Source organism: Homo sapiens, chromosome 5, assembly GCF_000001405.40.
Source record: "Homo sapiens chromosome 5, GRCh38.p14 Primary Assembly".
Lineage (NCBI taxonomy): Eukaryota > Metazoa > Chordata > Mammalia > Primates > Hominidae > Homo > Homo sapiens.
The window spans coordinates 96,722,072-96,737,460 of record NC_000005.10 but is presented as its reverse complement, the minus strand read 5'-3'; the positions used below and the strand labels follow the sequence as shown (position 1 = coordinate 96,737,460).

The window sequence follows — 15,389 nt, the reverse complement described above, 5'->3', positions numbered from 1 at the left end:
TTGGTATTTATTGCTTATCAATACTTTTCCAGAGTTTTAAACAAAGAACCCCTAAAAATCTCTATATAGTACCTATTCCAAATAGAATCTATTTCATGAGGGAAATCACTCTGTATTATTTCATTCATGTTTTTTTTTGTTGTTGTTCACTTGCTTGCCTGAAGAGGTTTACAAAACAGAAATTACCTGAGACATTAAACTTACAAGAACTCACAAGTTTACTCTGCCAATATGGGCTTAAATCAGTATAACTGATATGGTTTGGCTCATGTCTCCACCCAAGTCTCAACTCCAATTGTAATCCCCATGTGTCAAGGGAGGGACCTATAATCCCCACGTGTCGAGGAAGGGAGGTGACTGGATCATTGGGGCGATTTTCATGCTGTTCTCATGATAGTGAGTGAGTTCTCATGAGATTGGATGGTTTTATAAGTGTTTGACTGTTCCTCCTTCACATGCTCTCTCTCCTGCTGCCTTGTGAAGAAAGTGTCTGATTCCCTTTCCAGCATGATTGTAAGTTTCCTGAGGCCTCCCCAGCCACACAGAAATGTGAGTCAATTAAACCTCTTTTCTTTATAAATTACCCAGTCTCAGGGAAGTTCTTTATAACAGTGTAAACATGGACTAATATAATAATAAATAAGAGTGCTTCTATCTATTTTTTATGTTGATGACTCGTTATGAACAATAACCTGCATTGAAAGGAGAAAACAACAATCTAGGAAAGGACCTTGTATTATTTGATTTAGATGAAAAATAATTATTTAAATTGTCTTTTTTTTTTGCAACTACCATATTCCCATGACAATTTTAGGACTCTCCTGATCATGGATATGTGAAATACAATCTGAAGGCTGTTAGGCTTACACTGATTCTTTTAGGAATTTCAGAAAAAAAGAAGTACCTTACTTCTTTAGTAATACCTCTGGTTAAATAAAGTGTATTTGCAGGAGAGAAACTGGAATGTAAACTCCATGGGATGAAACTGGAGTTTGTTTGTTTTTTTTTAAAAAAGGGGTTATAATAGCAAGTGTTACAAACATGAGTGTGAAAACCATACTTCCAACCCACACTTTCAATATTAGCTTGAAACAATAATTCATTAAAATGGTCCTTTAAATTACCCCCCTCATATTATTTGCCCACAAGAAATCAGATTATGATAAATACAGAGCATATGAGTAACTGTCTCATGTAGAAGGACACTGTTGTCTTCATACCTTTCCCGATGGTTTATCCGGTTTAGATTCAACTGGCACAGCTGGGGTTAATGATTTCTTTTCTTTTTTCTGGTGAGAATTGAGAAATTAACAACTCCTCACATACCTTAATAAAACTCAATACTATTACAAATTTTAAAATAAATTCATTATATTAACAAGCATTGATCATACACTGAACATCCGCTCTACAGCAGAAACTGTGCTGTGTGTTTTATATCCTTTTTCAGAAGGGCTTTAATTATATTAGTCTCATTTAGTGATGGGCAAAGCAAGGCTCAGATTAGGCCACTTTCCTCAGGTTACACAGTAAGGGACAGAATGAAGATTTGAATCCAAGACTGTTTCTTTCCTCGCTGTTCTTCTCCAGGGCCCACAGCCAGTTTTTACAACATCCATGAATTCTTTCTATAGGCTGCCACTTCTGGCTTTGCTCTCTGGCTCTTTGCCCCCACACATCAAGACTTCCATATCCCTCACTTCGGCATCTCAACACCTCCTCTTTCCTTAAAATGAGTTGATCGCTCATCATTGCTTCCATTGCTCTATCAAAGACTGCAAACAACTTTTCAATCTGCAGTTTCCATGCTTTTATCCAGATGTAATCTCTGAAATTTGACCCTTGGAGCATCTCTCCCTCCCCATTGCCACCTTTCGGCACCATTCTGATCCTATTGTGGCATCTATGCCCTTTGTTCTCCATTACCTCTGGCATCTCTTTTACTTTGGTCCCCACTGTATACACTCTGCACATTTCTGCCCTGTGCTGGTGGTCTTATCCAAAATCATTCTCTATGGCCAGAGGCAAATGCTTTCAGAGACTGGCAGAAACTAAATGGGTGAAGTTGTTGGGTTTAAGATAAAAGGGGACCATTTCCCATTTGAAGGTATCCAAACTCAGGGAACAAAGCACAGGAAGAGCACAGGCTCTGACTGCCAAGGTTTGCATAACAGTTGAGACATGCATGGCTGCTTGAGGCTTTAGCAAGTCACTTCTCCTTGGAGATATTAGATAAGTGAATCTATACGAAGTATGAAAACCATTGTTTGGCACATGCTCAGCACTATGTAAGTACTTGCTATGTAATTGTAAGTGCTAAATAAGTGACTGTTACAATTGCAATGCTAGAAACACTGTGGGGGCCACTAGGGTGTGAGCCTGAGTCTGGATAATTGAAACCACTTCCATGATTCAGCCACTACCTCATGCAGATATTCACTCATGTTCTCTCCCCCACCTTCCTCTTCCTTCTCAATGTCTCTCTTCCCCTCCCTCTCTCCCCACTATCTTTCTATTCCATCCACTCTTTCTCTTCCTCTCCCTTTCCTCCTACTTCATTCTTTTCTATTAGAAAACAGTATTTTAATTGTCTTGCTAGACATATTTCTTTGGACACTTCAAACACTTAAATTCAGCTTGTCCAAAATTAGAGACACCTCTTTCCTCCTCAGTTCCTCTGACATCTATCTGTACTCCTGCCAATGGTACCCAGGGAACTTAGGGACTGGACTGCAAGGTGCCCAGCTCACAATTTAAAAAGGCACTCATTCTCAGGTGCCAACTCTGCACTTGCACAAACCTGACAATGAGCACCTTAGGGGCCTCCTTTCCCTTACCGTGTGGCTACCAACCTCCTGCAATCAGACTCAGAAGCACCAGGTTATCTTAGATTTTACTTTGTCTTTGCCCACTTCTGTCAATCATTTCCTAAAACCTGAAGATTTTTGCTCTGCAATTCATCTTGGATAACTCCCCACTTTCTTATTCTATCACAGCTCTAATTTAGGCTAAAATATGACTCATCAGGACTACTGAAACAGTCCCTGACCAACCTTCTACCTTCCTATCTCTATCCCATCCACCTAACTGCAGTCCCTTAATCCTTCTGCAGCTCGGATTCAATTGCATCACCCCATCTGTTCTCTCAGGTTCTCAAAGGCTACCCGCTGTCAGCTGAATCACCACATGTACAAATTCACCTTAGGGTTCTCCACAGCAGTGCTCAACCTGTCTTTCTGGTCTTACAGCCCCACCATTCACTTCCTCTGTGCTTCACCCACGTTGGAATGTACTTTGTGCCCAGAACACATCTTACACTTTTCAACACCTGCAATCCCAGCTATCCTTCCATGCCTAACTGAACTTGGATCTACTCTTCCAAAGCTCTTGTGGATTCCCTGAATTAGATAGAATCCCTTCATTCCTCACCAAATAACACCTTGTGGGGGCCTTTCTTCATCTGATTGAAATACAGCCCCAGGTACATTGTCTTTTCCCCACCCCCTAGACAGGCCAGCCTATAGCTAGTGCATCCTGCAGAACCAACCATGGTACCTTATTTAGTTTTTTATTTTATTTTTTTGAGACAGTGTTTCACTCTTGTTGCCCAGGCTGGAGTGCAACGGTGCGATCTTGGCTCACCGCAACCTCTGCCTCCCGGGTTCAAGCAATTCTCCTGCCTCAGCCTCTTGAGTAGCTGGGATTACAGGCCTGTGCCACCATGCCCAGCTAATTTTTTATTTTTAGTAGAGACGGGGTTTCTCCATGTTGGTCAGGCTGGTCTTGAGCTCCTGACCTCAGGTGATCTGCCTGCCTTATGGTACTTTAAACATGCTATGTACTAAAATAAGAAGGCAAGTCATTAAATCCTATTTAATGGGAGAAGAATCAGAGGCAACGTAAAGTAAAATGACTTGCTGCAAGTTCCAGCACAAGTCAATGCACGGCAGACTTCCACATAAGCCTCTCCTAATTTTATTGTTTAGTTTTCACTTATAACACTGGTTAATTTACATTTAGCTCAAAACTGTAAATTTTGATTACATTTAAAAATCTATTTTAGCGGGCCTAATCCTCTGCCTTAAATCTATCCATTTCCAAACTGAAAACATTGATTACATTTAAAAATCTATTTTAACGTATCTAATCTTCTGCCTTAAATGTATCCATTTTCAAACCATTTCATGTAAGCATTCCTCATTGGTGCAAGAGAGTGCTGTGTCTTCCTGGAGTGAGGCTATGAGTCTCAAGGTAGTATACAAGTGATCTATTGCAAGAAAAAACAATTTTAAGTTTGATATTTTCATTTAAAAGTTTTTGTAAATGTTGCCTTTGCTCCATAGGAGACCTGTATTAATTTGGATAAAATAATGTGCCTTTTCTCCCAAAATCCCAGAAGGAAAAAAATGATGTTTCAGGGAGATGTGCCATACTTTTACCCTAAAACTCATTTTCCCTATGACCTTCTTTACCATTTAGCTGTAGCAGGATATCTGTCCCATTTACAGAAGCAAAAGTATAGATAAATCTATATTACTTTTACATTTTTCATTCCCATCTTCTCATTGTTCCTTCACTTGCTTACTTGTGGCTTCAAATTGATTACATGCTCTCCAAACTGATTACTAATTCTATATTGCTTTTAGGTCTAACGTTTAAGTCTTTAATCCATCTTGAATTGATTTTTGTATAAGGTGTAAGGAAGGGATCCAGTTTCAGCTTTCTACATATGGCTAGCCAGTTTTCCCAGCACCATTTATTAAATAGGGAATCCTTTCCCCATTGCTTGTTTTTCTCAGGTTTGTCAAAGATCAGACGTTAGACCTAAAACCATAAAAACCCTAGAAGAAAACCTAGGCATTACCATTCAGGACATAGGCATGGGCAAGGACTTCATGTCCAAAACACCAAAAGCAATGGCAACAAAAGCCAAAATTGACAAATGGGATCTAATTAAACTAAAGAGCTTCTGCACAGCAAAAGAAACTACCATCAGAGTGAACAGGCAACCTACAAAATGGGAGAAAATTTTCGCAACCTACTCATCTGACAAAGGGCTAATATCCAGAATCTACAATGAACTCAAACAAATTTACAAGAAAAAAACAAACAACCCCATCAAAAAGTGGGCGAAGGACATGAACAGACACTTCTCAAAAGAAGACATTTATGCAGCCAAAAGACACATGAAAAAATGCTCATCATCACTGGCCATCAGAGAAATGCAAATCAAAACCACAATGAGATACCATCTCACACCAGTTAGAATGGCAATCATTCAAAAGTCAGGAAACAACAGGTGCTGGAGAGGATGTGGAGAAATAGGAACACTTTTACACTGTTGGTGGGACTGTAAACTAGTTCAACCCTTGTGGAAGTCAGTGTGGCGATTCCTCAGGGATCTAGAACTAGAAATACCATTTGACCTAGCCATCCCATTACTGGGTATATACCAAAAGGACTATAAATCATGCTGCTATAAAGACACATGCACAAGTATGTTTACTGCGGCATTATTCACAATAGCAAAGACTTCGAACCAACCCAAATGTCCAACAATGACAGAGTGGATTAAGAAAATGTGGCACATATACACCATGGAATACTATGCAGCCATAAAAAATGATGAGTTCATGTCCTTTGTAGGGACATGGATGAAATTGGAAATCATCATTCTCAGTAAACTATCGCAAGAACGAAAAACCAAACACCGCATATTCTCACTCATACGTGGGAATTGAACAATGAGATCACATGGACACAGGAAGGGGAATATCACACTCGGGGGACTGTGGAGGGGTGGGGAGAGGGGGGAGGGATAGCATTGGGAGATATACCTAATGCTAGATGACGAGTTAGTGGGTGCAGCGCACCAGCATGGCACATGTATACATATGTAACTAACCTGCACAATGTGCACATGTACCCTAAAACTTAAAGTATAATGAAAATAAATAAATAAATAAATGCAAAAAAAAAAAAAAAAACCTTAAAGGATAAGGTAAAAAAAAAAATTCTATATTGCTATGGGTAGAAAAGGTAGATAACTTCTCATCTTATATTCCTGGGCAAGTATTGGAAGCAGCTCTTCAAAAAATCTAAGGAAGTTATGCCCACAATCACCCAGCTCAACACATCTACTTCATCCTGAGAGGACTTGAAATATTTCCTTTGAAAACTTCTCATATCCATTCATGTTGATGTCATAGTTGTGATACACTAGTATCAAGACAGCTGGCATCAGCATTGAAAGCTGAAAAAGCCGATTCAAATGCTCCTGGAAATTGTATTTGCTTTATTTCATATCTATACATTTGGAAGGGAGAGTCTGAGTCAACTCACATTTTAATGTCCTTGGTATTGATATCAGTACGTTATATATGGCATGTACTCAGTAAGCAGTTATTGAATATATAAATTTACAAATTATTTTTGGTATCTTGTTCACTCTCTATCCCTTAAATGCATGCTCTTCACAAAATTTTACATATAAGCAGTGTTCAGTTTTGCCAGATGATAGGTTATTTGAGCATACGTTTCTCATAAAAGAAACTTGAGAAGCACAGAGGCCCACGTTTCCGTCTGCTTGTGTGTGCTCACCTTGTCACCCGGCTTGCCAGATATTGCAGTGATACCAGCAACACTCTCTCCACCAGCAGAAATCATGTCTTGTGGTTTAGTCTAAGACAGTGAGGATAAAAGGTTGACAGAGCTAAGTATCTCTGCATGGCTATTATCAAGATCATGAGTTTCAAATGTCACTAACATCTGCCAGTTCACCCTCACGGACACCATAAGGGAATGTTTGCTCACTTCTATTGTACATGGTGCAGTGCTAAGCACCACATAAAGCTGGACTCAAGAGCCTAAAACGTTCACGCAGGTAACTTGCGTAGGTCAATCAGGCTAGGTAAGGATTGTGGTAAACTGGAGCACACATACCAGGTGTAATGGCTCTAGTCAATTGTTGCCACGTGAGCTCACTCTTACTAGATAGTCTGATTTTTCAAGAGAAGTTACAATTTGGGATGTTATGTGAAATGCCCTGACTTTGATTGCTGGCAATTAATTAAAAATAATTTTTTAACAACATTGTAAGCCAAACAAAATATACATGTGGCATTTAAGTGGTAGATCACAAATCTGTGATCTCTGATATAAAATATACTGTGAAGCAGACCTCGTTATTATCTTCCAAGTGCTCTCAATGAAAAAGTATTTCTTGTAGATGTTAATTCTTCTAAAAGGTGGCTGCTATTAACTACAGAAGTATGGAAGCAATTTCTAATTTTTGGCTCTGTAAGTTCAGCTCTTCTACAACACGACCCTAAAAATGCTTTAGGATTTCCATTTAAAGAACCAGATAATTCAGGGCACATATGTTCCCCAGCCCAGGTGTGGGGGGTCCAGGAGGCAGCCTCAATCCAAAGCTGCCTGTCTGGGAGACAGCAGAGCCTGCTGCCCTGCAGTCACAGCTGGTTATTGCTGGGCAGTAGGAGAAGGACGGACAGCGCATCCCCTAGACCAATCTGATGCCCTTCTCAAGCCATCCATGCATCCAAGTTCCTACAAGTCTATTTGAAAAACCAACAAAATAATAATACCAAATCACTATAATACAAAATATATTCAGCACAGCCCCATAGATTGAACTACACACCTCAGTGTGAACAGGGGAACCGTATCTTATTATCCAGTTGATGTTAAGGTTTTCCTATCAATCTGCTTCATTTACCTTTGGTTCTGTTGATTTCTCTGATGGCTGCTGTTCAGCTGATCTGGAAACTGCTTTTTTATTGTGAGCATCGTTACTTCCTGTATCTGATGCCTGCTTGGGTAGGCTTTTTGGCTGAAAGTACACACACAGGTGCCCACACACATATAAAGACATTGTTAACAAGATGGTAGTCTTAAACATAATACTGATACTTTTCTCTATAGAATAAAAATTGTTCATAACAGTTGTGCTGTCTGTGGTTCTAAATTATGTAAATTTCAATTAGTGTGATGTACATGTGACAATTTCACTTTAGGTACAAAATTTGAAATAGTGCAAATCCTTCCCCCAAAATTCAGCAAGAATCACATAAATTGTAAACACTGCTATTGCCACAGGATGGCACCATTTTAGCTGAAAAAACTAATATCCAACTATCCATTGTAGGGATTAGTTTTGAATTAATGAAAGATTTTAATTATATCCCACCAAAAGAGGTTGCCTTATAATTAAGTCCTGATGATAATCATTTACCTCTGTGTGTTCTTTTGGCTTTCCTTCTTGGGATTTTTTCTCATGAACCACAGACAGCTGTCAATTTCAAAAGATTAAACTTGATTACACTGGAATCCAACTTGTAATACTTTCAAACAAGAACAAGAACAAAATTCCAACTAAAACATTCTGCCTTTTTCAGGAAAAGCCCGCTTAGGCCCACTCAGGCCCACTCTTTAGGATCACAGAAGTAGACATGTGGTATCAGGTCAATAGTAACCCTGTCAGCAGTCTCTGAGAATGGTGATTATCAGAATAATGAAAAATTCAGTATTTCATCTGAATAATATTTTCAAATACACGTATGTCTCTAAATTACTGGTTGTTTTTCACAAATGTACACAGATAACACATGAGCCATGTGACTACTGAGTTTGTTGACAGCTAATCCCACTCTAGAAAATATATTTTAGGCCAGGCGCGGTGGCTCACGCCTGTAATCCCAGCACTTTGGGAGGCCGAGGCGGGCGTATCACAAGGTCAGGAGATCAAGACCATCCTGGCTAACACAGTGAAACCCCGTCTCTACTAAAAATACAAAAAAATGAGCCAGGCTTGGTGGCGGGTGCCTGTAGTCCCAGCTACTCGGGAGGCGGAGGAAGGAGAATGGCGTGAACCCGGGAGGCGGAGCTTGCAGTGAGCCAAGATGGCGCCACTGCACTCCAGCCTGGGCGACAGAGCGAGACTCCGTCTCAAAAGCAAAAAAAAAAAAAAACTCCTTTCATAGGATTTACAGAGTTTTGTTTCTTTGTTAGTAGAGAAGATCTTACCACCAGAAACCCAATTTTCTTGCGATTCAGTAGATAAAAGTATTTAAAGTGGAATAGAAGACAACTTCCACTTAGCTGCTGAATTCTTCACTCGGAGTACCCTATGTTCTACCATCCCCAGGGGCCACCAGGAGGCCTTCCACAAAATCAGACAAGCCTCACCTTTCACCCTCACCTGTGCCTGAAGTACCTGGGCTCAAATATCTGTGCTTTTCCACAGGAAACCTTGTGGTCTTGTCTTAGTACTTGCTTTAAGTGCTTGACAAAATAAAATGCAGCACCTTATTGAAGAGAAACATTTGTGCTGCCGTACACAACCTGGGGTTCACCTCCATGCAGAGGCAGAATGGCATTCATTCTGGACAGTCATGGGTCAGGAAAGTAACAGAAGCTAGCCTCCTGTGTAACTGTTAACTAGCTCCACCAACTGAGGTAAGACTGTCACGATAAACCCAGCCAGCCTCTTAGGAAAGATTCTCATCCCTAAGCCATCTAGGTGCTGAGTTCAGCAGACACCTTATTCTTGATGTCTCATTGGAATTGGAATTGGATATTCATTACTACTCTTTGCCTTTTTTCTTCTGTTCCTCTTGCTTTTTTCTTTTTTAAAGCAATCACTATACATATAACAAAAAACTAGATTTGAACAAAATGCTTCTGAAATAGTTTTCATTTATAAAATATTATATATTCTTTTTAACAATATACGGACTTAATGTTATATTTTATATATTCTACATGTACACAGCCATTCAAAAGGGTCTAAAAATTAATTAAATTAGCCAGCAACCCCCTTTACCATTCACAGCTGTGCCAAGGCAGGAAGTTGATTATTCATTATTATTAAAAAGAATCCAAATAACTAACTAACAGACTTAAACTATTTACCTTGGTTGACTGTGACTTCTTCTCAGGTTCTGTTTTTACAGCCTAAGTTCAGAAAAAAAGAAAGAAAAAAAGGAAGGAAGAAAAGAAAGATAGACATAGTTTACAAAGACTATCACAGATTTTCTTCAACTGAGGAAACTCAAAAGAGATGATTTTTAATGTAATTATAAACATTATCAGTTAAGTTTGTTACACTTTGCTTGAAATTGCAACTCTTTAGATAAACAATTAGGTATACTAGTTAATATTCTGCTTTACTATTCAGGGAGCAATTTATATCTCCTTGCTAGGTATATCAAAGATATGTAAAGATTTATTACTATTTACATGGTAACACATAAATGGGCAACAGAAAATAAAAACCTTCATCACAAAGCCAAGGGCACTGTGTTTCCATGCCACTAACACGGTGTTTTTATCAGTGAAATATTCATCACGGGTTTTGGCTGACAGTGTAAAACAATGGGATGGTGACAGAATTGAGGGCACAGAAAGCAGTGAAAATTACTTTTAGTGCCAGAATGTGGCTGATGGGCAGCTAAGCCTACAGAAAGTCCATGATGGGATCTCAGTGTTAACAGAAGACTGTGAATTGCAGTTATTAGCACATGCTGAGCGGGTGATGTAACCGTTAGTAAACAGAGATGCCCTAGTACAATGAACAACATCACCTGTTTTTTGTGTTTTTTCTTGTTAGGAAGATGTGGTCCTTCCATCTGTTGGCTGACTGGAATGGCCTAATATAAGAGCACAGCCCCAGGTATAATTTTATTTTATCTGTCAGTCAAATAAGTAACATGTACAAAAAGGGTTAAAATGATTATATCAATTCTATTCATCTATTGCATCTACTCGATGCATATGTGTATAACTCCAAGAAGCTGTAGGCACTTACATTCTAAGGTCCTAAGCAGATATTTCAGTTTGTGTTTACATTTTTTCAGTGAAGGTTTTTTTCAGCGAAGGTTTCCATTAATAAAATTAATTTCTCATTCCTTTCCTTTCCCTGTGTAAAGACTACATGAATATCATTTTTTCCTATGTATCCAATGTTTAGTTATGATCAAATAGTCACAGATGTAACGGAAAGTTTTATGAAATTCTGTCAACATAATCCCCCCAAAATTGTAAATATTTAGTGCATGGATTTTTACTGGGCACATCACAGTCCTGTATGCAGAGATCGAATTTAAAGTTCTAGAAATGCTTCTACAGAACTGGTTGTAACTTAGCATCTTTAGTATGATATTTTACAGTTTTATCCAACTAAACATTACTTGTGCAAAAACAAGTAAGTACATGCATGCATTCTCAATATAGGCAAGATATACAATCATGAATAAAACTTGATTAAACATTTCATGAACTTTTCAGTCAGAGATTACAAACTAGGGTCCGATGCTTCCTGCTGTTTCTTTCCTTTTTATCTGCTTGGTAGTATCAGCACAAACTAGTGGTTTTTATTTATTTATTTTTATTTGAAGAGGCTAAAGTCAATTATCCTCTTAATTTATCATGTCTTCTACTTCAGTAATGAAGACACATACTTTCTTCAAATAATGGCCCCTTGCTAGGCTAACACACTATTTTGGGAAGGAAACAAAGCTTATGATTGAAATGTTTTTAAAGAAATTTTAAATTTTGGATCCTTTCACACTACATTCTCATTAATGAGTTTCTATTTATGGAACTATCCTTTCAGTTTATGCAAATATAATTTATTAAATGATTAACAAGGAAAATAAGCCAGCTGGTAGTATAGTGCTTTGAATCTATTAATAGCTTGCAATTTGGCAATCAAGATTTTGCATGGGAGAACCTACACTACAATTAAGAATGTATGCTCACAGACACAAGCAGCTTATAATGCAATCTATATTTAAATCAGTAATTGCTGAATTTATTTTTGTAGTGATTGTGCTGAATATAATAATGATGACCATAATAACTAATGTGTATTAATCACCTCTCATGTGTCAACCCACTTTATCTTCATAATAATCCTATGAGACAAGTATTATTATACCCATTTCACAGATGAGAAATTGAGTTTAGAGCAGTTAAATAACTCCCTAAAGACATCCATGGTGGACCTGAGGTTGTGTGTTCTAGTCATCGCACTGCACTCTCTCCCCAGTAGTGGCCAACAGACAATCCCATCTGGACACTTGCTTAGGACAGGAATTGTCCAATATACATTATGTTTCCTTACACAGTCTTGTGAGGCAGGTACTATTATCACCTTCCTCCAAACTGTACAGATAAGGAAACCAAAGCAAAAAGAGATTGTCCAATATCACAGCTGATATGGAACCAGGTTCCAGGGAAAGAGACTTGAGGCCAAAAGTGGTCCCTAGTTAGCCACTGGGGACACTTCATTACGTGCATCTTATTTTTGTCTCTCCCCCTCTTCTCTCTCCTACTTTCCTCCAGTTTCACAGGACTGCCGAGAATTCTCATGATTAATGCTTAGAGAAGGGTGAAGAGTTTGCTGACATTTGTTCTAGGTAACAGGCCACGCTTGAAATAAACATTGGTCCTTGAGCTGAGGCACAGGGGATTAGAATCAGGCAACAGGATGAAAAAGAACCAAAAGAATAAAAAGGAAATCCTATATTTCTGGCTCTCTTTCCTATCTCTTTTCTTTGGTTTTCATGATCTCTAAATTCAATGAGATTATTTATTTATTTATTTATTTATTTATTTTTGAGACAGGGTCTTGCTCTGTCACCTGGGCTGGAGTGCAGTGGTGCAATCACAGCTTGCTGCAGCCTTGATCTCCTGGGCTCAAGCCATCCTCCTGCCTCAGCCTCCCGAGTAGCTGAGACTACAGGAGTAAACCACCACACCTGGCTAATTTTTTGTAGACACGGGATCTCGCTATGTTGCCCAGGCTGGTCCCAAACTCCTGGGCTCAAGCGATCCTCCCACCTTGACCTCTCAAAATGCTGGGATTATAGGTGTGGGCCACTATGCCTGGTCTTAATGAGAACTTTTATTTTGTAGATGCTTCTGGAATATTTTTTAAAATTAGGATTTTTAATTTTAGGCTGGACACAGTGGCTCATGCCTGTAATCCCAGCACTTTGGGAGGCTGAGATGGGAGGACTGCTTGAGCCCAGGAGTTTGAGACCAGCCTGAGTAACATAGCAAGACCCCTGTCTCTACAGAAAAACAGAAATATTAGCCAGGCATGGTGGTGTGCCCCTAGAGTTCCAGCTACTCAGGAGACTGAGGTAGGAGGATCACTTGCATCCAGGAGGTCAAGGTGGCAGCAAGCTGTGATCATGCCACTACATCCAGCCTGGAAGACAGAGCGAGACCCTGCCTCAAGGAAAAAAAAAGATTTTTAATTTTTTAAGATTAAGCTTAACATAATTAAATAGAGACAGCTAACATTAATTATAGATTATATAATGTATATTTTGAAAGCAATTTAGAAATCAATGTAAATTTAAATACTAAATTTAAAAACTGATAATTTTAGATTAAAATTTTAAATGAATGCTAAATGACATAAGAACTTAGATGTGGATAGTGTATTTCTAGATATTTGTAATGTTCTTTGAAGATGATTCAAGATGAGGCCATATAATCCTTTGATAGTACTAAGTTATAGTGCCACATCACCTGGGATAGGAAACTACAGGGATAGCATAGTAATATGAAAGACAGAAAACAAAAGTAGGTTGGTAATTTTAAACAAGGGCAATTTAATAATAATGGAGTTGGGGTAGCTCTTAAAGGTATTAAAGAATATTGGCACACAAACATTAGTTGAGAGAATTTTGAAAATGCTCCCTCTTTAATTCCCTCCCCTGAAATATTCCCAAGAGATACAGCTTGAGCTAGAGTAACTTAGGGAGAGGGTTTAAAAGGCAGCTGCAGCCAGCTCTTCAGAACAAAGTGGACAATACCACTAGAGGAAATTCTTTTATTTTTAATTCTGAAATTCAAAAAAATAATTTTAAGAATAAATCCCAAATAGAGCTCAAGAAAGGTTTGTCAATAAAATGGTACCCCACAAGACTCAAATTTCAGAAAAAACAACTTGGGAAAGCATCCGAAATAACCAGTATATTTTTATGTTCATTTAGTATAATCTTTCATTTTTATATTTATTTTTAAGTGCTCAGAATAGTAAGACCATTTTAGCAAGAATTAATAATTTATATTCTCATTTCAATGTAGAGAAATGTACTTAGAGGAATATCTTCAATTAAAAAACTCAATCAAATCTAGGATCAAAAACAAAAACAAAACTGGCCACGGGCACGGTGGCTCATTCCTGTAATCCCAGCACTTTGGGAGGCCCAGGTGGAAGGACTGCTTCGGCCCAGGAATTTGAGACCAGCTTGGGCAACACAGTGAGACCCTGTCTCTACAAAAACAAACAAACAAACAAACAAACAAAAAAACAATTAGCCGGGCATGGTGGTGTGCCTCTGTAGCCCCAGCTACTCAAGAGGCCGAGATGGGAGGGTCGCTTGAGTCCAGGAGGTTGGGGCTGCAGTGAGTGTAATCACACCACTATACTCCAGCCTAGGTGACAGAGCAAGACCCTGTCTCAAAACAAAACAAAACAAAACAAAACAACTCTAGGTGACTCTACTTTTCTAGATAACCTAAAACCATGTAGATGATGTGTAAGGTAAATATTGGAAGGAAAGCTGAGTTTTCAAAGACCCCCATAAATTAGGAAGAAAATGTTTACTTCCATAATTAAAACTTCCTAGCATATATAACTCATCATCAACAATTAGTCTACATTTGTTTTGCTTTGCAGCACAATCAACTTAAATTAGCACTCACTCAATTAGCATTCTTCATACCTTGGTTTCTGTGGGATTCATACTGGAAGACTTGCTGGTTGCACCAGAGGAAGCTGACACCTAGAAAGGAAAGAAAGAAATAGAAAGTTCGATTCTATTTAACCTACAATCTACATGGTCCTTCAGCTCCTCTTAACCATACTGCCCTTGGCCCTTTACCTTGGTTTTACCCAGTTTAGAGCACAAAAATCTAGTAGGAGGTGGTGTCCAGTAGTGAAAGCCTTTGTAACCAGATCAAATAGGTTCAAAATTTGGGTCTGCTATTTACTAAACAATCTCGGGTAAGATACTTAAATTTTATAATCTCCAGTTTCCCAACCTCAATTTTTCTTTAGTAGTTAACAACTACCTTGTAAGTTTATTATTAGAATTACTCCCTGGCACATAATGAATGCTCAGTAAATATTATTATAATTACTGTTTATGTTATTTTCAGAAAAAACATGGATTTTGCAACTCAACAAAATTTTGTTCAAGCCCCAGCTCTGTCAGTTACAAGCTCTGTGACTTTGAGCTTTGTCTTCCAGGTCCATTTACATACAAAGTACAGTAACATCTATTTGCAGGGTCGTATTTGAGATAGTGTGGCAAAATGTCTGGCAAATTGCAGATGCTCATTAAATTGCC

At 38.5% G+C, this 15,389-nt stretch overlaps 1 protein-coding gene across 33 annotated transcripts in view, besides 1 other annotated feature; it reads right to left on the bottom strand.

Annotated features, from left to right (window-relative positions):
• CAST (calpastatin) overlaps positions 1 to 15,389 on the bottom strand; it is an 813,255-nt gene that overhangs the window by 37,223 nt on the left and 760,643 nt on the right. For 12 of the 33 annotated variants that reach the window (NM_001423254.1, NM_001423259.1, NM_001423253.1 and 9 more), the window contains 6 exons: positions 14,763 to 14,822; positions 9,931 to 9,972; positions 8,252 to 8,308; positions 7,736 to 7,849; positions 6,601 to 6,681; positions 1,221 to 1,289 (listed from right to left, as the gene is read on the bottom strand). In NM_001423254.1, coding sequence (NP_001410183.1) covers positions 1,221 to 1,289; positions 6,601 to 6,681; positions 7,736 to 7,849; positions 8,252 to 8,308; positions 9,931 to 9,972; positions 14,763 to 14,783 — 384 coding nt within the window. In that variant the 5' untranslated portion in view covers positions 14,784 to 14,822. Of the gene's footprint in view, positions 1 to 1,220; positions 1,290 to 6,600; positions 6,682 to 7,735; positions 7,850 to 8,251; positions 8,309 to 9,930; positions 9,973 to 10,601; positions 10,668 to 14,762; positions 14,823 to 15,389 lie in introns of all 33 variants that reach the window. The other 21 variants (NM_001423250.1, NM_001423251.1, NM_001423252.1 and 18 more) reach the window with 4 other exon arrangements.
• Positions 2,905 to 3,437: an enhancer, noted in NCBI's record as "OCT4-NANOG hESC enhancer chr5:96069728-96070260 (GRCh37/hg19 assembly coordinates)". NCBI's record gives its function as "activates a minimal SCP1, AML or CMV promoter by ChIP-STARR-seq in naive H9 embryonic stem cells {active_cell/tissue: H9 hESC(naive)}" and the evidence as "EXISTENCE:reporter gene assay evidence [ECO:0000049][PMID:30033119]".